Source organism: Homo sapiens, chromosome 1 (assembly GCF_000001405.40).
Source record: "Homo sapiens chromosome 1, GRCh38.p14 Primary Assembly".
In the NCBI taxonomy this organism is placed as follows: domain Eukaryota; kingdom Metazoa; phylum Chordata; class Mammalia; order Primates; family Hominidae; genus Homo; species Homo sapiens.
The window spans coordinates 213,472,066-213,498,194 of NC_000001.11; the positions used below are offsets into that span (position 1 = coordinate 213,472,066).

A 26,129-nucleotide genomic window follows, 5' to 3' on the forward strand; every position below is an offset into this window, starting at 1 on the left:
ATGATTTTTGTTGTTATTGTTTCAGGGCAAAGCCATAATAGCATTTCTGAAAGTGGAGTGGTTACTTCCTTTATTGTTACCCGATATTTCTTAGTTGATTTTTTTCTAGGATGCTTTTCCACAAAACTTACTGTTCAGAGGGAGACACAATGGAAATCAATTGCTAATTAAATTTGTGTCTAAATTAATAAAACACAACTATTCAGATCATATCTGTCTGAATAATTTCTATTATGGTGAACATAATTGTTAGATTCAGCATTTAATGAACCATATTGTTAGGTAAAATTCTTGTGACAATTGGGACTAATAGAATATATTAACCTTTATTCTTCCCAGCTTGACATTACATTGGACCATGTTAACATGAAAACACCTGGAAGAGTTTCATTGTTATGTAGCCATTGTGACTCTCCTGGCCCTCTGATAGAGCCCGTGAGGCTTTGGGAAATCAGTGATGTTTGATGTTTGTCAATGGGTGTCCTTATCTACAATAGTTTTTAGGGCCTTGGTTCTATGTGCACGTGTCTTCATGAAATGGAAACTCTACTATGCTCAGCAGCTGGAAAGCACCATCAAATGTTGACAGTTTCCTTGGAGCACCCATGTAGAGCATATTCTAGGTTTTGGGCCCCAGGAGATGAGTATGAAGTGGAATGGCTATAGAAAAAAATTAACATGAATCTTTTCCCTGGGGAGTACACAATCTAATAGAGAAAACAGAAGAGCTTTATAAGTAAGTATAAAGGACATCCATGCCAAAGAAATCTAAGTATATTCAACTAAAAGTAGTTTTATGGACCTATTCTGATGTGTGACTCTAAAGTTTGGCAATTTATTTCTCAGAATATATTCATATCAGAAGGTAAACATCCCCTTGAATGTTATCTCCTTCAAGACATCAGCATAGCAGTCCATGCTGGTGCTTTGGGGACACCTATTCCAATGAACTGTGCTTTGGGAGATGTCTTCAGAGTCTGGCATCTGCCGTTTTAAATGCCTAGTATAAAACATCTGCCTTGCCTTTGTAACAGGGAAAATGACCCTTGTTCACAGAACAAAGAAAGATTGGGCAATGTTACATTTAAGGGTGAAGGCCAGACCCCCTTTTCCACCTGTGAACCAATCAGTCTGGCAATGGCAAAAGCCAACACCAATCAAGCTTCCCTTGATGCTCATAGTCAGGCCAGTAGCTGACCTCACTGTTCTCTCATCAGTCACAACACACACACCAGCACTTTGTGCAAAATCTGCTATCCCCCAATAGTGGACAGGGATCTTTTCCATTTTGCATTAGCTATAAAACTGACCCCAATAAACCACAGTAGGCATGAAGTCACTTTCCCTCAACTTAGTTCCTGACTTCTCTTTCTTGCCAATGTGAGGGGGGTGAGATGAAGTGGGAGTATGTACCCCAGGACATCAACTGCATAGCAGTGACTCTCTGCTGAAGTCACTGCAGGTTGGCACTCACCTCTCTTTATCTGGAGATGGGTATGGGATTTACTTTTGCTTTAAGCAAATTCCTAGGAGGGAAACTAAACCCAAGTGATTTATAGGGAAGGGAGTAGGACAAATAGCCCTAAAACATCCAACCTCCCACCCGCCAAGTCCAACAATCTTGGGATATTTGCGGAAGTCCACGTTAGGTTTGTGAATACTACTTAGGACTTTCAATCCTCTACTGCATGTAACCATTTTAGATTATGGTCTAAAATAACTCAGTATCCCCAAACCACTCAGGATTCATTTCGAGAAGTTTTCATAGACAAGGTAGCAGAGGTTTGAAGAATTGGAATCTAGCAGGCAAGAGTGGGAAGTGCATTTCAGAAGAGGGGCATGGAACTAGATCTGCCTGAGTGGATAATGAAGGAGTCACTGACCTTAGACCTGTTGTCAGGTTTGGAGGCAGTTGCCCTCCAGCCCGAATCTAAGAACCAAGCACTTCCCTCTCTCTCCTTAAGGAAGAGCTAGGAGATACCCAGCTGCTTCTCCAAAGCTGGTCTTCTAGGCTGCGATTTCCTCTCCCTTTGTTATCTCTCATTTGCCTTCCCAGCAGTCTGTCCTTGGGCCTCTGACTAATTTTAGCTCAACTGTTCCTGGGTTCGGGGGTAGATGGAGCAACTGCTCCTATCGGTCTGCCTGGGGTTGCTCGGTGGATGTCAGCCATGAGCTGGGCTCTCCTTGGCCCGGATCCCAGTTCCCAAGCAGAGCTGAGCCTGGAGACAGCCAGCGGAAGGGACCTGAAGCTTGCAGCGAACTGGTGCTCTAAGTCCTGGTTTCTGAGGGTGGACACAAGGCTATTTCATGTGTTTGATTATAGGAGTGGAGAGAGGGACAGGGAAAAATCCATTCCTGAAAATAGTGCAGGTTTGAAGATGATGTTCTCCCAGCTGCTTTTTCAAAGCCATCAGAAATGGCATATGGGAGGTGGGAAAATGAGGTGCAATTTATCAAGCAGGCTGAAGGGGACCTTTCCAGGACACAGTAGGTATTTCTGTTTGGGTGCAAAAATATTTAGTTTTGAAATTATTAAACAACATCATCTTGGTGATTTCGTCTTTTTGGTAATCTGAGCAGAGCGCATATGTATCTGTGTCTGCAAATTACTTTGGAAAATGCATATTATTTACTTGTTCTGAACAGGCTCTTAGGCTCGGTTGTCTAAATAGGAAATTTGGATCTAATAAAATGAGGCTATTACAGACTCCCAGGCAAATAATAACAAAGGCTAATACCTTTAAAAATTCAAATTAAAAAAAAAGGTCACTGGTTAGCTATGAGGACAAAGTTCAATATAAAACTTCACAACTAATTTCTGTCTTTCCCCATTCTCTCCCTTTAACAACATCAAGGCAAGACCCTGGATACAAGAGAGTTCCTTCCCGACCCCCAGCTCTGAGAAACAGCTGAGGCCTCTAAGCATCATTACCAAGAATGTCTTCCATAAGTGGGGCCTCACGGAAGCTGTGAGGAGGAACAACTGGATATATTCTGAGCATTGATTCTGGAAGCATTTGTGCTGGCAAAGTGAGTGATTGCGGGGCCGTTTTATTGGACATGTACTTTGGGGAAGCACGGGGCCGTGCCATCTTGGACAGACTTCTTACCCCGGCACTGTGGGAACCTGTGAGGTACACAGTGGTGTCTGACTTGGAGAAGATTTTTGCCATGGGCCTCCTTTCCCCACTCACCAGACTTTGGTGCAATTTTCCAAATGTAGTCATCAGTCTACCTCAGGGGTCCAGAAGCTCGACTTTTCTTCATTTGTCCCCCCTTTCAAAGGCATATTTACTAAGAGGGGCTTGCATAATCTTTTTTTCTTTCTTGAAATTTCTGTTGCATTGAAACATCTATAGCTTGGGTGCGTGCTGTGCCCTGCTCTTCTCTTCTCTGGACCTGGGTTTTATCATCTGCAAACTAAGCAGAGGCAGCTTTTCTTTCTCTCAGAAGTCTCATGTGAAATTTCAATGGGTAAAAGAACATGCCGGTGGAGCTGCCTGGCTACATCCAGTGAGGAGTGCCCCTCCCACCCCACGTCCCTCCCGCTGCCTCTCCCTCAGTCTCTTCGGGGGCCCCCAATGTCCACGAGGCCATGAAAGTTCAGGGTTCCATGGGTCACTGTTTGAGCTTCCAGGACTAGATGACTGCCAAGTCTTTCAAGCTCTAGAGTTTGGAGGTTCTAGCTATTTCACCGGGAAATGGCCATCTTTGGCCTCCATATTGGCTCTGATGTGTATGGCGGAAAAGAGATGGTGGGGCCTCTTGCTTTTACCCTTTTGCTAGTTTACCCTCTTCAGACAGAAAGTTTGAAACCTTGGAGTCTCCTAAGCCAGTCTATTGAAACTGTACACTTGGGGGAATCTTCTCCCACATGGCATATTCCCCATTGCAGTGGAGTGGCCTGGGGCAACATCCACATCTTTTCCCTGGAGAGGGCCCTCAGCAGTGCCTCATCTCTGCGGCCCACAGTGGCTGGTGTGACTGGTGTGACTGGTGTGACTGGTGTGCTTTGAGGAGTGTCAGGATGCTGAGAGAGAGGCCCTCAGGAAACACCCAGCAAAGAAGCAGACCTCACTTTCTGGAAACCTCCCCGGCTGTAAACCTCAGGCATCCTCCTTGGAGGATTGAAAAGACCGGTATTCCCCAGGAGGATCTTGACTGGGCTTGGCCCCCTGCTTGGTCACATGACGTGCTGGCTGCTTTCCTCTGGAGCCCTTGTTTCCTAAATGATAGTGGATGAGAGATCAAATCTGTCCCACACAGGTAGTCGTTGCCATCTTAATATTTGTTAAGCTTTTTGATTTAGTGAGGAGTTAAAGTCATATCAGGTCACAAAACTGCACATTAGATCTGCTTCATGAAACACTCTGAGTGAATGGTTTAACTCATTTATTTCACCAGCTTTAAACCAATGTAGCTGAAGAATTGCACCTCCCCTTTATAAATCTTTCCATTTATTTCTGACTCAGGTTTATGGGGAGGGTGAAGACCTAGCCTGTTCAGCCGTTTCACCCATGCCATAGAAACCTGACATGCTCTGCTTACAATGGTGAACAAGCCCAGCTCACACATGTTTTAACTCAGCCAGAGAAATTTCACCCAGGAAGCTGGAGGAATGTGCTTTGCAGAGAGGACTTCTATGGTGTTGGAGACTCACCTGTTCCTTACCCTTTTCTCTCTTCTGACTGTTGCCCTTGTGCTATTTTCCTGTTTGCTGCTTTCACTCCACCAAGTCCAACTAATTGAAGGGAAATTTAACCATCAGAGGATTTACAGAGAATCATTGCAGTTTGCTGTAAGAGACAGGGCTTAGACTTACATAATAGGGTTTAGGACCCATGTAAATTAGGTCAAGAAGAATCCACGTTGTGGCCATTCTCAATTCAACTCCATTTCTTATTCTTCCTCAGGAAAGCAAATTTCCAAAGAGGGACACAATTACTCTCAGCATCTTTGGCAATCCCACTGGGTGGTGGTGAGACCTTCCCCCTGATGAAAGATCCCAGTGTCATTCTGAATGACTTAGTGGTGCTGAACTTGGCAAGGACAAACCCTCTGTGGCTGCCTCACCTGTTCCTAATGTGGTCTAATGTAGGGCCAGGACACAGGCTCTTCATATTTCTATTTTTTAAGATATTTAAAGTTTTATTTATGATCTAATATAACTTTTTAAAAATGTTCCAAGGATATTTGAAAAGCATAAGTATTCTGTTTTACAAAGTTCAAAATCCTTTTATTAAATCGGGCTTGCAATGGAGATCTTCAAATCTGTTATACCCTTATTTTTTTTTTTTATCTATTTCATCTATTGATTTTTTTGAAAGGCAAGTTAAAATCTCCCACTATTGTAGTCTTCTTAGCATTTTGTTATATTTCTAATAGATTTTACTTTATACATTTCTCTGAGGTTTTAGAAGTGTAAATGTTTATGATCCTATCTTTGTGAATTGTACCTTTCATCACTGTAAATATCAATCTTTGTTTTTTAAAATTTGTAGTTACTGATCTATATTTCTGATATGTTTTTCTTTAAAACATTTTATATGAAAGTGAAAAACAAAAAGCAAGCCACAAAGGTTAATATAATAAAACCCAGATACCATCCAAAGTGAAGAAATGTTAACACTTTTCGTACTTCAGATTTTTAAAAAATTAATAAGCTTTTTAAAAGCAGTTTTAGGTTCACAGCAAAATTGAGTCAGAGGTACAGGGATATCCCCTCTCCCTGCATGTATAATTCCCTCTGTCATTCACATCTTGTGTCACTGTGATACATGTTTTATAATCAATGGGTTAATATCAACACATTATTACCAACCAAAGTCTATTGTTTACATTAGGGTTCACTCTTGGTGGTGTATATTCTATGGGTTTGGACAAATGTATAACATGTATCCATCGTTATAGCATCATACAGAGTAGTTTCACAGCCCTAAAAAATCCTCTGCGCTCTGCCTATTCATCCCTTCTTCCCTCTAACCCCGATCTTTTTACCATCTCCATAGTTTTGCCTTTTCCAGAATGTCTGAATAGTTAGAATCAAACAGTATACAGCCTTTTCAGATTAGCTTCTTTTACTTAGTTATATGCATTTGTTTCCTCCATGTCTTTTTATGACTGGATAGCTCATTTCTTTTTAGTGCTGAGTAATATTCCATTGTCCGAATGTACCACACTTTATCCATTCACTGATTATAGGACATCTTGATTGCTTCCAAGTTTTGGTAGTTGTAATTAAGCTGTTATAAATAACCTTCTGCTAGTTTTTGTATGGATATAATTTTTTAACTCATTTGGATAAATATCAAGGAGTGCACTTGCCAGATTTTATGATAAAAGTGTGTTTAGTTTTGCAAAAAAAATTGTCAAACCATCTTCCAAAGTGGCTGACTGTACCATTTGCATTCCCATGAACAAATGAGTGAAAGTTCTTGTTGCTCCAAAGCCTCACCAGTATTTGGTGCTGTCAGTGGATTATGGCCATTTTAATGGATGTATAGTGGTATCTCATTGTTGTTTTAATTTCTAATTTCTTAATTATGTATGATGCTAAGCATCTGTTCATATGCTTATTTACCATTTGTGTATCTTCTTTGGCAAGGTGTCTGCTCAGATCTTTTGCCCATTAAAATAAATTTTTGTTGAGTTTTAAGAGTTCTTTGTATATTTTAGAAGACAATCTTTTATCAGATATAGCTTTTGTAAATATTTTCTTCTAGTCTGCAGCAGATTTGGTGTTTAAAGGATAAAATATCACGGATGAAGTTTAAATCCCCTATAGTTTCTTCTGTAGTCCAATTCCCTTCTATTTCTCTTCAGAGGGAACAATTCTCATGAATTTGATGAGTATTCAGTCTAGACGTTTAAATATTTACTTATTTTATATATTTTATATTTTGTAATCACTAATAGTCATTTTGTGCATGAAAAATGACTTAAAAGGTCTCATACTGCAAATTACATTTTTCAAGACTTCATTCTCTGTTTTTAAAAATTCTATGCCTGATAATACATATAGATTTACTTATTTAATATATTCTATCACCTGAATATATCACACTTCATATCCACTCCCTTATGTTGGGCATGTGAATTCTTTTTAACTTTTTGTACTTATTAACGAAGCTTCAGTGTCTCATTGTGCTTGTATGAGAGGGATTCTGTAGTATATGAAACTAGAAGTGGAATTTCTGAGTTACAAGATTTGCAGAGTATCTAGCTGCACTAGATATTACCAAATTTATCTTCAATGTGATTGTGTCAATTTACACAAGTGGTGTGTGAAATTTCTATTTTGTCATATTCTTACCAGTAATTGGTGTGGTTAGGCTTTTACATTTTGGTTAGTCTAAGGGTGGAAACTGGCATCTTGTTGTGTTTTCGTTTGTTTTTCTAAACTGCATCTCTCCGATTACTTTCGAGGCAAAATACTTGTATATATTGGTCGTTTTCTCATTTGTTAACTGCCTGTTTTCTATGGTGCTGTTTATTTTTATTGATTTATAGGAGTTATTCATGTATTTTGAATATGACTTTTTGTTGTCAGAGATGATGTTAAAAATATGAAACAAAAAGAACTGAAACATCAGTACAGCATGAGTAATCACCAATCAAAATAAATGCCATATCCAGTTAGAACAAACTGAATTCACAAAGATGTTCTTTTATTTTTTCTTCTAACATTATAGAAATTTGTTTCTTTACATTTAGATATTTAATTAAATAGAATTTTTTACATATAATGGGAGAAATAGGATCTTTAAAAAAAATAGTCTATTTTTCCAATCTCACCTAATGGTTTGTTATTTCTCTACTAATTTTTATGCCTCCTCTATTTTATACAAAGGTACCCTGTAAATTGGGTATGTTTCTGGTGTTCCTAATTTATTCCATTGATTTGTCTGTTTCTCTGCCAATAACATACTGCCTTTTATTGTTAAGCCACAATTTTATAAAGAATTTTGATTTTTCATAGAGGAATCTTCTTTGTTCTTTTTCTGAAATATCTTACTCATTTGTGGACATTCATTGTCCTGCATAAATTTTAGAATAGTGTTTAAATTTCCAGGAAACATTCTGTTGGCATTTTGATTGGAATTACATTGAATTTAAAGAATAATTTGAAGAGGAGCATTTTCTGATATTTAGTTTTCCTCTCCATGATCGTGGTCATGATCTCTCATCATTTATTCCAGTTTTATTTTTATGTTCTTTAATAATGCTTTATGTATTTCTCCCCCTAAAGTTTTACATGTGGTTTGTTAGATTCACTTTGGTAGTGACCTGTTGTTAAGATTCTGTGCATTTTTGATGCAATTGTGAATTCTGTCTTGTTTTTGGTTACATTTTCCAATTGGTTATCACTTGTGGTCAAACGCTATTGATTTTTGTGTGCTTATCATACACCTAGCAATCTTGATGTACTTATCAGTTCTAATAGTTTATCTGCAAATAATGACAATTTTGTTTCATTCTTGTCTTATTGCTTTGGCTAAGACTTAATATCAGGATACAATTATAAAGGAAGGACTAAAAGGAAATTTTCTTGATCTGATAAAGGTCATATACCAAAAATTACAGCACATATCACTTTTAATGGTAAAACTTTGTAGTAAAATTTTTGATGCTTTTCTATTAAAGTCAGGAAAAAAAGTCTCCATTCTATCTCCTACTATTCCATATTATACAGTAAGTAGCCTTTTTGGCAGATAGGTTCTTATCAGGTTAAGGGAATTCCTTTCTATTTCTAGATAGCTAAAAATCTTTTGTGAATGGTGTTTAATGTTATAAAATTCATATTCTGTATGTGTTGAGATAACTATGCATATTATTCTTCATTAAACTATTCATATGGGGTATTATATTAGAAAGGTCTGATATTGAATCAACGCATTTATGAGACAGATCCTTCTTTGACAGTGACAAAATTTTATATACTGATGGATTCAACTTGCTGAATTTTACGTTTGTTTTCTATTTCATTTGTGAGATTGGTCTATATTTTTCTTTTTTGTTCTGTTACTTCTTGTTTGCATTATCAACGCTATGTTAGTCTCATGTAATAGGATGAATGGGAAGCACTCTCCTTTATTCCGTTTTTTATTTAAACAAATTGTGTAAAATTTTCTGTCCCTGAAGATTTGGTAAAACTAGTTTATGTGATGTCAGTTCTTTGAAACTATTATCTAGAGCACAGCCAATTTTAAATGTCCCATGAAAAGACAAGAAAATCTAGGTGGAAACAAGGCTCTTTGAATTGTAATGAGATATTTACATTGAAATTTTTGTTGATGCAGGAATGTAAAATAGACATTGTGTGCCAAAGTGAAGTGTCCTTCTCAAACACAAATTTTAAAGGAGGTGGACCATGACTCGTTTCATGAGTCTTAGGCCCTTTACTCAGGAATCATGGCTGTTATATTTAATTTATGTATTGTTCTTATTTCAATATGTTGGGTGTTCTTTATTGGCCCTATTAAGGTTTTTCACCTAAAATTTTATTTCACCTGAGGGCATTAGTGCTAAGTCAGCTTGATTTTGGTATTTGTCTAGTATATCTTTATCTCCTGTTTTTTTGAAACATGTTATTTTAGTTTGGGTCTAGATCTTTTAAGTAGAATCATAGCCGATTTTGTTGCTGTTGCTAATTTTTAAAATCCAGTTTGAGATTTCTGTCTTTTAATAGACTAAGAATGTGCTATGATTATACATAAATTATAAATTATATTTACCAGTGAAATAGTTTGTCCTCAGTCAAATTTCATGTTGAATTGTAATCCGTATTGCAGGTGGGGCCTGGTGGGAGGTGGTTGGATCATGGGGGTGGATTTCTCATGAATGGTTTGGCACCATCCTTGTGGTGCTGTCCTTGTGATGGCAAGTGAGTTATCGTGAGATCTGGCTGTTTAAAAGTATGTGCACCTCCTTCCCTCTCACTCGCTCCTGTTCTCACCATGTGAGACACCTGCTCCTGCTTCACCTTCTGCCATGAGTAAAAACTCCCTGAATCCTCCCCAGAAGCGAAGTGAATGCTGGCACCATGCTTCCTGTACAGTCTGCAGAACCATGAGACAATTAAAACTCTTTTCTTTATATATTACCCAGTCTCAAGTATTTCTTCATAGCAGTGAAGAAGAGACTAATACAACCATCTTGCTTTATTTTTGTTTATCATTTATTTTTCCTCTCTTTTGATGCTCTTCTTGGTTTGGTAAAGTATAAAATTTTGTTTCATTTTGGTTTCCATCTCTTTTATCTGCCTTTACAGTCATTTTTTAATTCTCCTTTTGGCCCATGGAGATGCTTATTTGTTTTGGTGTGTAAATCTTTTTAAACTTAATTAAACTTATAACATTCTGTATTTGGAGTAAAAAGTTTAAACATTTTCTTTTTTGTCATTTTATTTTGAGTATGTATTTTGTAAGGAGCTTATATTTAGCATTGGCTTCATTTTTTTTCAACCTAACTTGAGGTTTTTTTTTTTTTTTTTTTTTTTTTTTGAGATGGAGTCTTGCTCTGTTGCCAGGCTGGAGTGCAGTGGCGTGATCTCGGCTCACTGCAGCCTCTACCTCCTGGGCTCAAGCGACTCTCCTGCCTCAGCTGTCTGAGTAGCTGGGACTACAGGCATGCACCACCACGCCCAGCTAATTTTTGTATTTTTAGTAGAAATGGGGTTTCACCATGTTGGCCAGGGTGGTCTCGATCTCTTGACATCGTGATCTGCCCGCCTCGGCCTCCCAAAGTGACCTTTGTTTTTTAATAAGGAAATGTAAACAACCACCTTGTGTTTTTTGAGATAAGTGTTATGTCTGGTGGTGTTCCTGTCTTCTATTGTTCTTCTGTTTATTATGTATTTTAGTGTCCATCTTTCCATTTTCCTAACTTTTGTTGGAATGATATCTCTTTGTTGTTGTTCTCCATACCTACACAAAGTGATTTGGAATTTTAGCATCTGAGTTGTATTCTACTAGTGAGAGTCTTTATTATATACATTTTAAGCAAAATTTTAAAAGTACCTTTTTAATTGTTAAAGTTACAATCATGGTGGAAGGGGAAGCAAACATATCCTTCTTCATAAGGCAGCAGGAGGGAGAAGTGCTGAGCAAAAGGGGAAAAAGCCCCTTATGAAACCATCAGATCTCATGAGAACTCATTATCATGAGAACAGCATGAGGGTAACCACCCCCATGATTCAATTACCACCCACTGGGTCCCTCCCATGACGTGGGGATTATGGGAACTACAATTTGAGATGAGATTTGGGTGGGGACACAGCCAAGCTGTAACACAATACGGCTGAGTATTATTCCTTTTTTATGGATATAACACAATTTGTTTATTTATTCACCACTTAATGGACATCCCCCCCAAAGTTTTGGACATAATAAAAATGCTATGAAAATTTATGTGCAAGCCATTGTGTGTACAAAGTTTTGAAATTGATGATTCATATAGCAAGTGTATATTTAACTTTGTAAGACACTGCCAAACTTTTTCAAAGGGGTTTTCAGTTTTGTATTCCCAACAGCAGTATATGAAAGCTCTATTTCTTCTTGAGTGAGCTTTGATAGTTTGTGTCTTTCAAGAGATTTCATGTAAGTTGTAGGCTATCAGAAAAGCTCCTGGCTCCTGTTAGCATCTCTGCAGCCATTGTGCCTACAGTGGATGCAGCTCCTAGCATAAAGAGTGACTCCTGATGAGAAGGCAGCAGTGGAGTTATTGGCTTCAAACAAAGTCCCATAGGGAAGCTAGGCGGTTTTGGAAACTTCTCCTTTGGAGTGAACAGTCCCTTTTTCTAAAATTGTTTGCCTGATAGAGTCTAAGGCTTTCCTCAGGTGTGGTGAGACTGTGAGCAGGGGCTCTAAAAATCTGACATAGAAGGAGGGTCCCTTCCAGGTGTAGAGGGGATAGGCCAGTGGCAAGCTTTCCTCCTTATTCTTAAAATGCTGTCTTCCTAGAATCCAAAATTTCAAACATATAGGTGAGACTCTCTCTTTATTTTTCAGTAATGTCAACAAGATTTTATTTTACACTAAATGGCCTCAGGGAGAGAATTAAGAAGGAAGACAACCCATGATATAATTTTATCACCATCTTCCTAGAATTCTGTCATTTTTACCTCTATTATCTATCACTGCATAACCAGTTACCCAAAATGTAGCAGATGAAAACACCAAAATTTATTATCTCCTTTGGGTCAGGAATCCAGGTGCTGCTCAGTATCTTTCACAAGGTTCCAATCATGGTGTTGGCTAGGCTACAGTCATCTGAAGGCTTTAATGGGGAAGGATCTTCTTCCATGCTCACCCACTTGGCTATTTGCAGGTCTCAGAAGATCTGTGTCCAGGCTCGTTTATGTGGTTGTTGGCAAGCCTCAGTTCCTTGTCACATGGACCTGTCCACAGGGTTGCTTCACAACATGACAAATGGCTTTCCCTAGAGAAGGTGAGAGAGCGAGCACCCCTGATGTAAATCACTGTCTTTTCATTGCCTCATTTTGAAAGTGATATCCACCAGATACGTTATACTCTATTCACTAGGAACAAGTTAGTCAATCAACCCACATTAAAGGAATGAGGGTTACACAAGGGTGTGAATGTCAAGAGGTGGGTGTCATGTACCTTCTAAGTTAATTCTTTGTCCTCCAGTGTCTTGGTTTAGGTTTGCTCAGAAGCAGATCCTGAAGAAAGGATTCAATTGCAAATAGCTTTTCTTGGGAGATGATCCCAGGAAACTGTGACAGCAAATGGAGAAGTGAGCTAGGAAAGATAAGGAAGCCTATTAAGGGAATATTTTCTTTTTTCTTTTGTTTTGAGACAGGATCTTATTCTGTGACCCAGGCTGGAATGCAGTGGCCCAATCTTGGCTCACTGCAACCTCCACTTCCTAGGCTTAAGTCATCTTCCTATTTCAGCCTCCCAAGTAGCTGGGACTATAGGCACACACCACCATGCCAAGCTAATTTGTTTTTTATTTTTTGTAGAGACAGGGTCCCACTAAGTTGCCCAAGCTGGTCTTGAACTCCTGGGCTCAAGCAATCCTCCCATCCTGGCCTCCCAAAGTGCTGGGCTTACAAGTGTGAGCCGCTGTGACTGGCCTAAGGGAATATTTTCAAACCAGATACTATTCTGGGCAATTATAAGCTCAATCCTGCTGGGGAACTCTGGAAAATGGCTCAGAACACACCACAGTGTTCTCCCAACCAATGAGTGAGGAAGTTGTGGGATTTATCTACCAACTCTCTATCCATCATTGATTGAGGACGGCTTTGGGGAACAGTAATTCTGTGGCACTTCTGCTTGCCCTGCATATGCTAAGAGTATACTCTCCCACCCCTAACCTGCCACCCCCAATCCTTTCTTTCTATGGAGGTAAATGCTGAAAGGATATTGATGGGACACCAAAAATGTCTGCTGTACCCAGCTAGAATGCAAGCATCACAAAGGGAAGAACCATATTTTCATCATTTCCTCTACAGTCCATCAGCATTATCTAGTGTATTACCTAAAACACATTTTTGCTCAAGTATTTGTTGAAAGAATGCAAGTTGCTGCTGATGGCACCATGAAGGAACTCAGTGCTGTGAGGAGACAGACTTGCACACCACTAACTACAAGACAGCAGGATAAGTGCTATCCTGTAGATGTTCATGGGGTGCTATCAGAGTCTAGGGCAGCAACTCTGCTAGCCGCTGGAGAAGAGGCTAAGGAAGCTTTCACACAATAGCAGATGTGTGTGCTAAGCCTTGAAAAATGAGTAGGATTTTGTGATAGGATTTTATTGGTCAGATAATACATGAAGCAGTGCAGGAAGAAAAAAATGTGTGGCAGAGTCATTTGTCATTTACAAAAAGAGAGCATAGGCACTCTGGATACTCTTGCTCTCACCCTTCTGCTTCCTCTGCTAGAGAAGTTTCATGCAGCTGAGGCCCTTGCTGCTGTTTCTGGGCCACCATCTTGTCCATGAAGTAATCATCAGCTTGATAGTCTAAACATGCATGAGTTCACTCTCCTCTCTCCTTCCCAGCAGGCACGCACACAACACAGTGGTTTCAAGTCCTTTTGGCAAAGATAATCTTTTCTTGATCTTTGAAAAGGCAGGTAAAATACATATATACACATATAACAAATATTTTCTTTATGTATTTACTGTTTGTAGGAAGTCTAACCCTAATCCAGCATTTATTAAAACAAGACAGGATTTATTAAATTGGTTCAAGTTTATCAAATATGTACAGATCTTTACATAAATTAATTTGCTTGTTAAATATTTGTAAAATTTATTAAGACTTTGGAGAAACTTAAATACCTGAGCTTCCCAGTTTAATTTGGCTTGATTTTATTTTTTTATTTTTTTTATTACCTAAGGGACCAATGAGGCTTTAAAGTACACACATAGGACTCTGGATGGTCAGGTAAGAGAGGGCCAGAGAGCAGGTGTCAGCAGCTGGGACCTGACAGGCAAAGAAAGGTGATGTTTGAGTACTTTTGGGTGAACCTCTCTGTTCATCAAGATACTATATTCAAGAACAGAAGATACTGTGTTCATTAAGCCTGGTGGTGTTGGGGACAGTGAGACATGCCCACTGTGTGATGACATCATAAGAGGCCATGTCAGGATGGAGCTGGAGCCATAGACTCCTTTCTTCCTGCTCCTTAATTAAACAATGTATTGAGCTGCTGCCATGTACCAGGCATGGGCCCGTGGGCTGGGAATACAAGGTAGTCAAGATACGGGCCCAGCTTACAAAGCGTGAGAAACATAGGCCTATATATAAAAGTTTCAGATTCTGTGTTCAAACCCTGTCTTCACCATTTACAGCTCTCTGGCCTTGAAATTGGATAATTATATAGAACTGTTGGAAGTTCTAAGGTATAATAGAACATCTAGCTGAGTGGTCATCCCTGCCTTCTAGCTACATCTGGTCAATCAGTCCTGAAATTTGCAGCACCTTGAACACCTGAACATCTTTTGGGCCCATCTACTTTGATCCATCACCACTGCTTCCACCTGGTCTGAGCCACTGTTGTCTCTCCTTAGAATAACTACAATAGGCCAGGCATGGTGGCTCATGACTGTAATCCTAGCACTTTGGGAGGCCAAGGCGGGTAGATCACTTGAGCTCAGGAATTTGAGAGCAACCTGGGCAACATGGCGAATCCCTGTCTCTACAAAAAAATTAGCTGGGTGTGGTGGCCCACGTTGGTAGTCCCAGCTACCTGGGGGGCTGAGGTAGGAAAATTGCTTGAGTCCAGGAGGTTAAGGCTGCAGTGAGCCCACATCATACTCCTGCACTCCAGCCTGGGTGACAAAGTGAGACCCTGTCTCAATAAATAAATACAAACTAACTACAATAGTTTTCTCCGTGGTCTTCCCAAACTCATTTTTGTTGCCTTCCAATCCATTCTTAAAATAGCAGCCTGAGTGATTTTTTTTTTTAAGGCCCAAGAATGATGATGCCATTTCTTAGCTCACAACTCTTCAATTCCTTCTCAATCCTCTTAGGACAAAATCCTACAAGGCCCTGCTCAGTATGAGCCCTTACAGGGGGGCATAGTGGTTAATTCATCTGGAATCAGGCTGCGTGGGTTTAAATCCTGGTTCTGCTACTTTGTGCAAGGGGGTCCTGGGTAAGAGTTGTATCCTCTCTGGGCTCCCAGTTTCTTCATGAGTCATATGGGGATGCTCAGGGTATCTAAGGTTATTGATTCCATGAAACAAGACAAGCAAAGCACCTAGAATTGTATCAGGAATGTGGTAAGAATATGATGTTATTATTATTACCTTTCCTACCTTATCTACACATGCTTGCCTTCTCTCCATTCATTCTGCTGCCCTTCTCCCTCTAGCCTCTGGCTATTGGTCTTTGATGATGCTGTCTCTAATACTGTCTCCCTCCCCATTCCTTTGATTACATTCTATTAATCCTTAGGTTTCCATTTAAGAATCATGTACTCCAGGTGGCCTTCTTGATTCCTTCCCTAGACCAGTTTCTCTCTCTGTGTATGCTCATAGCACCTATATCTTTCTTCTATAACACTCTTCACACTATGGTCACCTAAACAATCCCTATCTCCTTGGCAAAAGCCAAGCTCCCTAAGTCAGGGGTGCCATGCAGCTGTTCACCATCATTCACCATCCTTAGCTCATGCATAGTACCTGGCATGTAGCTGGCAATGGATGGCTGTATTAACAACACAATGTAGCTGAACTGTCTACAACATAGTGTATGTAACATGCTACAACAGGACCATTATAAACTGTTATGGGAACACAGGTATTTGCCTCCTAGAGGTTCAGCTATGTCCAAAAAAGCAAAAAGCATCCTGCTGGGAGTTACTGACAGATATCCAACCCTTCTCCTAGGCTTCCCACTGGCAGGAGGTGGCAGCAGGGTTTTATTTGGTAGTGTTGGTGGGCTGTCTGTCATAGCGTCTGTTTCTTCATGCCCAGCAGATTTTGGCAACTTTGAGATTAAAGAGTGGACTTTCACAAGAAAATAAAAGACCCAAATGTCCTCTAGAGTAGATTGACCCTAAACCCCAGGGAACTGAAGCAGTAAATATGCGAATTGCTAAGCACCTGGACATTGTGGTTGGAGTCTGAACTCTAAGAATATTTCATTTCCTGCAAAACTGCAACTAAAAACTAATTCTGGAATTGGGAATCCCATTTGTCCCAAACTGACATAAGATCTTTCCAAAGATTCCAATCTTTATTTGAAATGGTTGAGTTTGGCTGTGGCTGCTAACACTTTACTCGCCTTAGAGCGCTCTGCCTTGTGAACTGTCCAAATAAATTGGTAAGCAAATACTGACATACTCTAGAAAAGTGTAACACTGGAGTGTATCTTTTGGTGATTCATATAATTGTCCCCAAATTAAATCTGAAGTAAAGAGCAGATGGGTTTATGTTCTCTTTTCCCCTTAACATGATCACACCTGTTATAATGCTATTTGCAAGAAGGTATTGGAGGATGTGGAAGTTTATGCTTTTAGGGATCCTGAGCTCTAGTCGGGGAGCTGGAACATACATACATGCAAGAAAAAAAATCTCAAGAAGTCCCCTGGTAGAATAATGCAGTGGGAAATAAGCTTCCTAATTTGGCAGGACATGTCAGAGGGAGTGATCAGACCTGAGTACAGTTGCTTAAGGAGGGCTGCTGGGAAGAAGGAGAATTTTGAGCGTCTTTCTGGGTGTGAAGAGTTGGTACCCTAGGTGTGAAGGAGATTCCCAGGGAGGGCCCAGGTGGGCTGGATGGGAAGTGAATGGCAGGAAAGCCAGTAGGAGGGAGTATCCAATGGGAGTGGGGGTTGTGGGGCAGGGACATAACGCTTAGGAATCATGCAAGCTGGGTTTGTGGATGATGTCAGAGATCTAAGAATGGAAAGGGCTTATTTTCCTCTGGGCCTTTTCATTCAATAAGCATTTATTGAGCATCTACTTTATTCCAGACCATAAAAGAGATGCCAAGGATACAAAGAACATAACACACCATCCTCACTTTGGAGGAGCTCACAGTTGAATGAGAGAGATAGAGGAACAAAATATTACACCACAGTCTGCTGCAGCCTAGGATATAGGATGTGCAGTGGCAACTCAGGGAGGCAGGGACTCAGAAACAACTTCACAGACTAGGTGATGTGGCTGAAAAATGCATAGTTATCCCAGGCATAGAAAGGCATGTCGGGCAAAAAATAAAGGTATCTCAGTGGCTTAGAATTCTGAATGAGGCTAATATGTTCAATGGAAAAAGCAGGAAGTTTGGGGTTGCTGGAGTTTTCAGGGCAAAATGGAAGTTATTTGGACATAAAGGTGGAGAAGGAGTTTTGGGGCCAGATGGAGACACTCAGCCTCTATGCTGCAGGCAGAGGGGCTGGTGGGAGATCTCAACAAGGAAGCAACATGATCACGTTTATTTCCAGGATAAGAGTTCTGGAAATGCTGTGAAGGATGGAGGGAAATCAGACAAAACCCAGGACAAAGACTGCAGTTAGTCTCTTAGTTAGGGGTTTGTGACAATCCTGGCAACAGAGTAACAGTGGGCTTGGAAAGAGCTGGGCAGTGAGGATGGAGAAGGGCTTATTTCTAAAGACCCATTGGGTGTGGTTTCTGCTTTTTCCAGAAGAAGCTCTTTCACTTCTATTTCCATTAATGTCCTATTGAATGAAAACTCAGGTCCCTTTCCTTCAACCTTCACCCCTCTTTCCCCTACGGACGTTGAAAGCGGCTTAATATGGCAACACATAAAATGAATCCCACTCAGTGGTAAAGCAGAGCTGAGGTGGGCTCTCAGAGGTGCCGGCTGAAGAGTCCAAGATTGTTTCATGCACATTTGACTTGATAGGAGGGCCTCTTGGAGGCCAGTCTTTTCTGCTTCCCTCTTGACTCTGTATGAGGTGAAGCGGGCCTCTGTTTCCTCTGCTTGGACATCCATTCACTCTCAGGCCCATTGTACCTGGGTGTCGGACAATGGTTCGGCTTCCAGTGCAGCAGATGGCCCCTTCTAAAAAGGCCTGGAGTGCTCTGTGGTCATCAGAGGAAGGGGAGATGTGTTGGCTGTTGGCTACCTGGACAAAGCCGCACTTTGCCTCCCTGGCTAGGATGCGTAGTTCAAGATGGCAGGACTGTGAGTAGTGTAGAAGTGCAGTGAAAGAATGAATTGCTCTCAAGGGCATCTGAAAAGCTGCTTGCTTTAAAGAGGATCTGAAAAGGTGGCAGCAGGTTTGCCTTTGTCTTTGGGATTGAGGAGGGGAGTGTTCTCTAGAGAGGGGAAGTTCGCAGAATGGTTCAGATAATGGCTGCATGGATAGGACCTCACCTTCCGTTTCTCACCTTCACAGACTTTTCAGCTGGACTTTCTTATCACAAGCAAAGCAAAGGATCCTGGAAACATTGTCCCCACACTGCTCGTGATGGGAACTGGAGCAGGATTGGTCTTGTTCTAGGGCACAGTTTGGAGCTGTGTTTGAGGAGGAACTGAGATGCTCCCCTTGCCCACCCCAATGTTCACCTACCAGGCCTGTGGTGGTTAGGCACTGAGGGCAGTTGTTAAAACGCTACTCTTATCTGGAACAAAATGTGTCTGTTATCTGGCAAGGAGGCCCATTAATCTATCAGCAGCCATCAGTGCCTCCCCATTAAGTAAGTTATTAGGCTGGTAGAAACCAGGGGCCTGAAAGAAGGCTTTAATGGAGCGGCCAGGTGCAATGGCTCACACCTGTAATCCCAGCATTTTGGGAGGTTGAGGTGGGTGGATCCTTTGAGGCCAGGAGTTCAAGACCAGCCTGGCCAACACGGTGAAACCCCATTTCTACCTAAAATCCAAAAATTAATCGGGCGTAGTAGTGTATACCTGTGATCCCAGCTACTATGGAGGGTGAGGTGGGAGGATCACTTGAGCCCAGGAGGCAGAGATTGAAGTGAGCTGAGATTGCACCATTGCACTCCATCCTGGGCCACAGATCAAGACTGTGCCAAACAAACAAACAAACAAACAAACAGGCTTTAATGGGGCACCTGAGTCAGGAGCAAGGCGTTGCCTTTGAAGAGGGTGGTTCCAGGTGAGACTCAGAGCTGGCGAACAGGTGACTGTTAGTAGGGTAAATGCAGCTGAGAGCAATAACTTAATCATAGCCTTAGAATCACCCTGTACGGCAGACACACCTGAATGTGTGTTCTGAGTTAGGAAATTTAAGAGTGGCCAACCCAGAGATTTGTTCTTTGTCCATAAGGAATATCTGAGTCCCCAGCGCATCCAGTGGAACAGGGGCTGAACAGGGGATTGAGTCTCCACGTTTTGGGTTGAATAAAAATTGCCAGGTGGAGGTTGTCAGGGGGAAGGTGTTAAATGGAAACACTATATATAAACTGCATGCTTTTTGCAAGGGACTGTGGCTTTCCTGCCCAGCCTGCCACCGCTGAACTGTATATAAGGTGGTTCTTCTCTTCAGCCCACTGTCAGTGGGCTCCCTCCCCCGTATGTAAGCCCCCAGCAAACTCCATTTCTTGTTTGCTGGCTCAGAGCCTCTTCTTTGGCCTCTTAAAATAGGGGTTCGGCATGACACCATTGTGTGCATAGAGGAGGCACGCGGAGGAGAGCGAACAGACTCCCAAAGTAAAACTTCATCTACTCCTGAATTTTGCCTGGACCCCACTCGGGTGGCCACAGGCGTGGATTCGCAGTTGCGCTATCTGCATTGGAGCCCATCTGCTGCTTTTCCTTGGACAATGGCTGCCCGTTTAGGGTTGTGACCCAGGAGTCGCTGTGGTTATCAACTGCGAGAGCTCAAACGGACACATGAGAAGCAGCTTTGTTTAGCGTCCTTGACATAACTAACCACATATTAACAACAGAGCCTTGTGGTATAGAGGCTCCTGTTTGTTCAGAATCTTAATAGGTGGGCTTTGTGCACATGGATTTCTAATACTGCTTACCCTGTATTTTAAGTCAAAGAGGGTCTTTGTGTGAAGGATTCTCCACCTCCTTTTCCCTTTCTACGAAGGAGGTAAGTGTTTTCTCTCACCTTTCGTGACTTACAAGCAGCTGAATAGCACTTGTGGTGTTTGAATGTCATATAATAGGCATCGTCACCGATAGAGAAATGTCCTTTTCCGTGTTTCTGAGCGCTCCTGTGCTTACTCTCCCTCTTACGTGTGAGCTCTCGCTCCTTCTTTATAAACTGGCTGTGAACAATTCTGTCCCCATGTTATTTTAAAGCTTGTATGTCCTTGGAATGCTGTGTGGGAACTGCTGTTCCCCTGGGAGACCATTTTGTGTCCAGCTCCTTCAGCAGACCCCAGCCAGGCCTCCGCTGACCATGTGGCAGTTGGTTAGAGGGCTGCTCTGAGCTGGTTGATGTGATTTAAAAGTAGAGCCGCATTCTAGAAGAAGTGAACTACTGTGAATAAAAGAAGACTCAAGGAAATGCATGCTGCTGGTAGAGATCGTGGTGATGGTGCTTGTGATGTTGGAGGTCTAAAATGCAAGAGGAGACATTATTTGTAGTCAGTCACGTCCTGTATAATATATGAGAGCCTGGTTCTGTAGGAACATAGGAACATCTGACTCCCTTTTCCATAAGGTTTGTATTTAAGTAGCTTCAGAAATGAAATTAGTGGCAGTTTGCACTTAGTTATAGGAATATTCAGTTGCATGAAGCTTATGACTTTGTGTTCCTTATTAATGTCATAAAGTCAGAAATGGGATGGCTGGAAAGTTAAGTCAGGATCCCTGAGCTTTCTATATTGGCCAAGTTGTGCAAAAAGAATTTTGGTGTAAAATGGTGTCTTTGTTCAAAACAGTGCCTGGCTAATAGGCTCTGATGTAGCTCTCACCAAAGATCTACTGAAATATTTACACACATTAAAAGTAGAAAAGTAGACAACTAACGGCCAACGTTTGAAGTGAAGCGATACTGACCATAAAAAAGGACTGCACAGAAAAAGACAGACATTGTCTTGGTCACATGAAACAGACATAATCGGGAAAATGATAGGAACGTACTTAATGCTCTTCCCTTCCCCTTGCCTCTGGAGCTTAACTGTATATAAGTGCCAACCTAAAATGTAGATACTAGGGGAGTTGATATCTTCTCTTCTCCTACTGCTCCCCACACTTCATCATTTTACAACTAGTTGAAGTCAGAGCTGCCCTGCCAATAACTTCTTAGGAAACAGAATGAGAGATTGTGGAGGAGGCACATTGTATTTGAAAGACCTCATAGGGAAAGCCCTGTAGGGAAATACAGAGAGCAAGTGTGTTCTAGAGAGAAGTGTGTGCTGGAAATCATGGCATGCCATGTCCTACATTGTTTCAGAGTTTCAGAAAACTGGACAGGGATTTTATAGAGTAATGGTTCTTCAAGTGTTGTCCTGGACCAGCAGAGTCACCTTGGAACTTGTTAGAAATGCAAAAATCAGAAATCTGGGTGTAGAGGCTGTCAATCTGTAGGTAAACAAGCCTTCCAAGTGTTTCTGATGCACCCTAAATGTGATAACTCTGTAGTATATGATGCAATGATAGGGAGTAGGAATTAAATATGAAGTTATACACATTAGCCTGCCCCCGGCTACAGAAATGGTTGGGACTAGGTTGTCACACACTTGTAGAAAGGAACTAATGCAATCAATTCATCATGTCTTTTGACAGACTCTAAGGGCAGATATGGTTCACTTTGTTCAAGGACAAGTAAGTCCTATTAAACTACTGTGAAGAAAGGAAGATTCAAGAAAATGCATACTGCTAAGAATTATCAATGTCAGATCCAGATTTAAAATTCAAAAAATTCTTTGATGTTTTCAAAAAAGAACAATTCAACATGAATAAAAGCAAAGTCTGCAGGATGAGGTAAAAAGAAAAATGTAGAGAAATGGAAGGATAGAAAAAACCCTAAAATTTTAATAGCGGTACTTAGAAACAAAAGGAGGCAATGGAGAACACTAAGTGGTACATTAGAAAGTCATATTGTTTTGAGAGACAAATGTTTAAATTGGAAAGTCATATTGTTTTGAGAGACAAATGTTTCAAAGTCTCTATAAGGATGCAGAAGGAGAAAAGGATGAAAAATATGAGCAAGAAAATGATCGAAGTGGATAACAGGATAACAGAGAATGGAGACCCAGAACATTAGTAATTGGTGCCTTTGAAGTAGAGGACAGAATAAATGGAAAGTAATAAAACCCAAGTGTATAAATATGTGATAAAATTTTTTTTGAACTGAAGAACTGAAATCTACAAGAGGTATATTGTAAAGGCTGACTATTCCAGGTAAAACTAATGATAAGAGAGACACATAGACATCCTGAAAAAAAAAAGTAAATTTTAATGATAATTTTAAAATCCTTTAAAAATCACATAGATAAACTGGATTATCTACAAAGAAAAGTAATCTTGATTTAGACTTCTTAGCTACATTAAATTTCAGAAAGTAATGGAAAAGGATTTTGAAGGGGAATAGTTGTGATCAAGAATTTACAGCCCAGCCTTGTGGTCTTTGAAGTATAAAGGTAACAGTAAAACAGCTTCAAATACACAAGGTTTAGAAAATACACCACATAGGTACATTTTGAAAGATTATTTAAAGATGTTCTACTGAGGGAGTCTTTAGAGAGCAACATTAAAAGTTCAATAATAGTAAAAGGGAACACATAATGTATTTATTGTGTGCCAGGCACTGTCCTAAGACACATTAATTGATTTAAACTTCACACAACATTATGAAGTGTGCTCTTCTAATATGCACCCCCACCCCGCTTTTTTTTTTCTTTTTTAAGATGGAGTCTTGCTCTGTTGCCCAGGCTGGAATGCAGTGGCACAATCTCAGCTTACTGCACCCTCTGCCTCCCGGGTTCAAGCGATTCTCCTGCCTCAGCCTCCTGAGTAGCTGGGATTACAGGTGCATGCCACCATGGCTGGCTAATTTTTGTATTTTTAGTAGAGACGGGGTTTCACCATGTTGGCCAGGCTGGTCTCGAACTCCTGACTCAGGTGATCTGCCTGCCTTGGTCTCCCAAAGTGCTGGGATTACAGGCGTGAGCCACTGCACCTGGCCCTAATATGCCCATTTTACAGATGGGGAGCAGAAGGACAGAGAAGTTAAGTAACTTACCTAAGGTTACACAACCAGTATTTGAACTCAAGGAGTATGGCATTAGAGTCATTCTCCTAATCATTATTCTCTACTACCTTTCTTTTATAAAAGGCTGATTGTAACTCCAAAATTAAGGAATAAATTACTTTTTAAATGCATGATTGTAAAAGTGAATACAAATGTCTTATTCTTAAAAGATATAAATACAAACATAATACAAGGTAATCATAATAATCTAGAGTTTAAAACTTGGATAATATAACCAAATACCAAGACAATTATTTTTATTACCCTCTTAGAATTATTTTCAGCATTAAAAACCCTTCCTTGGGTCCTAAATTTCTGACCTTAAATTATGAGGAGCTCAAAAGATACTTTTCATCTTTGAATCTGACAGTTAGGGAAATACACACTTTAGCACACTGTTGAAAAAAACATAAAGGTAACAGATACTAGAAATAAAAACTAGAGAAGTAAATGTGAAATATATAACAAATATTAGAAAATAAAGACCAAAATAAGAAAACAAAAGAAAAAGCATAAGACAAAGCAAAAAATGTCAGACCAAATAGCACAAACAATAAATATAAATATGCTAAACCTACTTATTAAAACATAAAGTGTCTCAGAATGGGTTTTAAAACAAAATGTGCTTTGCAAGAGACATCTGTAAAAAAAATAATAACAGTATGGCTAAAAATGAGTGAATGGGCAAAGATATATTAGGTGGATGTAAACAAACACAAAAACAAATGATCTTTAGTATTAAAACAGAGTGAAAGGCAGAGATCAGAAAGCATAAGAAACTTACTTTCAGGCCAGGCATGGTGACTCACTCCCGTAATCTTAGCACTTTGGGAGGCTGAGGTGGGTGAATCATTTGAGGTCAAGGGTTTGAGACCAGCCTGGCCAACATGGTGAAACCCCGTCTCTACTAAAAATACAAAAATTAGCCAAGCATGGTGGTACGTGCCTATAATCCCAGCTACTCGTGAGGCTGAGGTAGGAGAATTGCTTGAACCCAGGAGGCGGAGGTTTCAGTGAGCCAAGATCACACCACTGCACTCCAGCCTGGGTGACAGAGTGAGACTCAGTCTCGGGGGAAAAAAAGAAAAGAAACTTACTATCAGTGGTATGTTGGAGCTTGCTCCTGAGGGCCAGTTAGTTGTATCCATCTTGCCCCAACTCTGAGTGCAATGACCTTGTATCAGTAACTTGGAAATTTGCCACAGTGGAAGCATTTACACCACAAGGGTTGCAAATGCTACAAATCAGGGCTTTTCAATTATTTTCTTCAGAGCCAGTTTATCAGCAAACCACTTGTTACTGTATAATGATGAACAATAAGATTCACAAAGGAGATATGCATTATATATTTCTATGCATCATGAACATTGTATTGAAATCTATCAAGTTGGAAATACCATAAATCAGCAGAGAAAAATAGTAATAATCAACTTTAATGTTTCTTCTTTTGACTGAATGAGTCATCAAACCATAAACATATAGAGTATTTGAATTATATAAAGAATTTGGTTGATTTAATAAATATGTTTTTACTGAACACTGTATGCTATAGCATATGTTTGTTCTTTTCCAGCATCCATGCAACCTATATGCCTCAACTGAAAACCTCAACAAACTTCGCAGAGCATGTATGGTACAGGCTGTTTTCTGTGACCATAAAGCAATAAAAAGTTAAAAGTTTAACTTAAGGAAAAAAAAAAACACTTGGAAATTTTCCCCAAACACCAAATAACAATTAAACCCCATCCAAACCCAAAATTAAGAAAATAACAACACAGTCTCCCTTAATAGCTTCTAAATCATATAAGGATATTACAATTTCGATTACATATAATTTAGAAAATAACAAGAACACTGCATATCCAAACACATTGGATGCAACCAAAGCAGTAACAGGATTAAAATTCATTGTCTTAAATGGTTTTAGTATAAAGAATTAATGAAAATAAATGAACAGTATTTTAGCTCAAGAAAGTAGAGTTAATGAAATAGTCCCAAAGAAAGCAGGTGGAGGGAATTAATTTTAAACAAATAAAAGAAATTAATAAATTCTGTAATAGTAAAAAGTAGTTAGTAAATAGTTCCAAAATCTAGGATTTTGAGAAAACCAAATATTTGTTAAGACTTGGAAAATATAATAAAGGAAAAGGCACATTAATGTAGGAATCAGGATGAGATATAACTAAATATGTAGAAAAAATTTAAAAAATTTAAGAAACTACTAGTTAAAATTCCGTGCTAATAATTACAAAATTGTGTCAAGATATAACTAAATAAACTAATGACCAAAAAAGTTGGGAAAGTTTTCAAACCGTTAAGGGAAAAAAATAATGCTGAAGATCTTTTTATGTTGATTGTTTTCAAACTGTTAAGAGATAATTCCTATGCTTTTAAATAACTTCTAACTATGAAGATATTTCAAAAGTTTGGAATTTCATTTCCTGGGTGAACATTATCTTATACCATATCTGACAAAGATAACAACCAAAATTAACAACTAATTCCTTT

The 26,129-nt window shown here is 39.9% G+C and overlaps 1 protein-coding gene across 1 annotated transcript in view; it reads left to right on the plus strand.

Annotated features, from left to right (window-relative positions):
* Nucleotides 1–26,129, plus strand: part of RPS6KC1 (ribosomal protein S6 kinase C1) — an 811,495-nt gene that overhangs the window by 420,825 nt on the left and 364,541 nt on the right. Inside the window, exon 16 of the transcript XR_007058661.1 lies at nt 2,856–3,030. The gene's annotated coding sequence lies outside the window, so the exon portion shown is untranslated. The remainder of the gene's footprint in view (nt 1–2,855; nt 3,031–26,129) is intronic.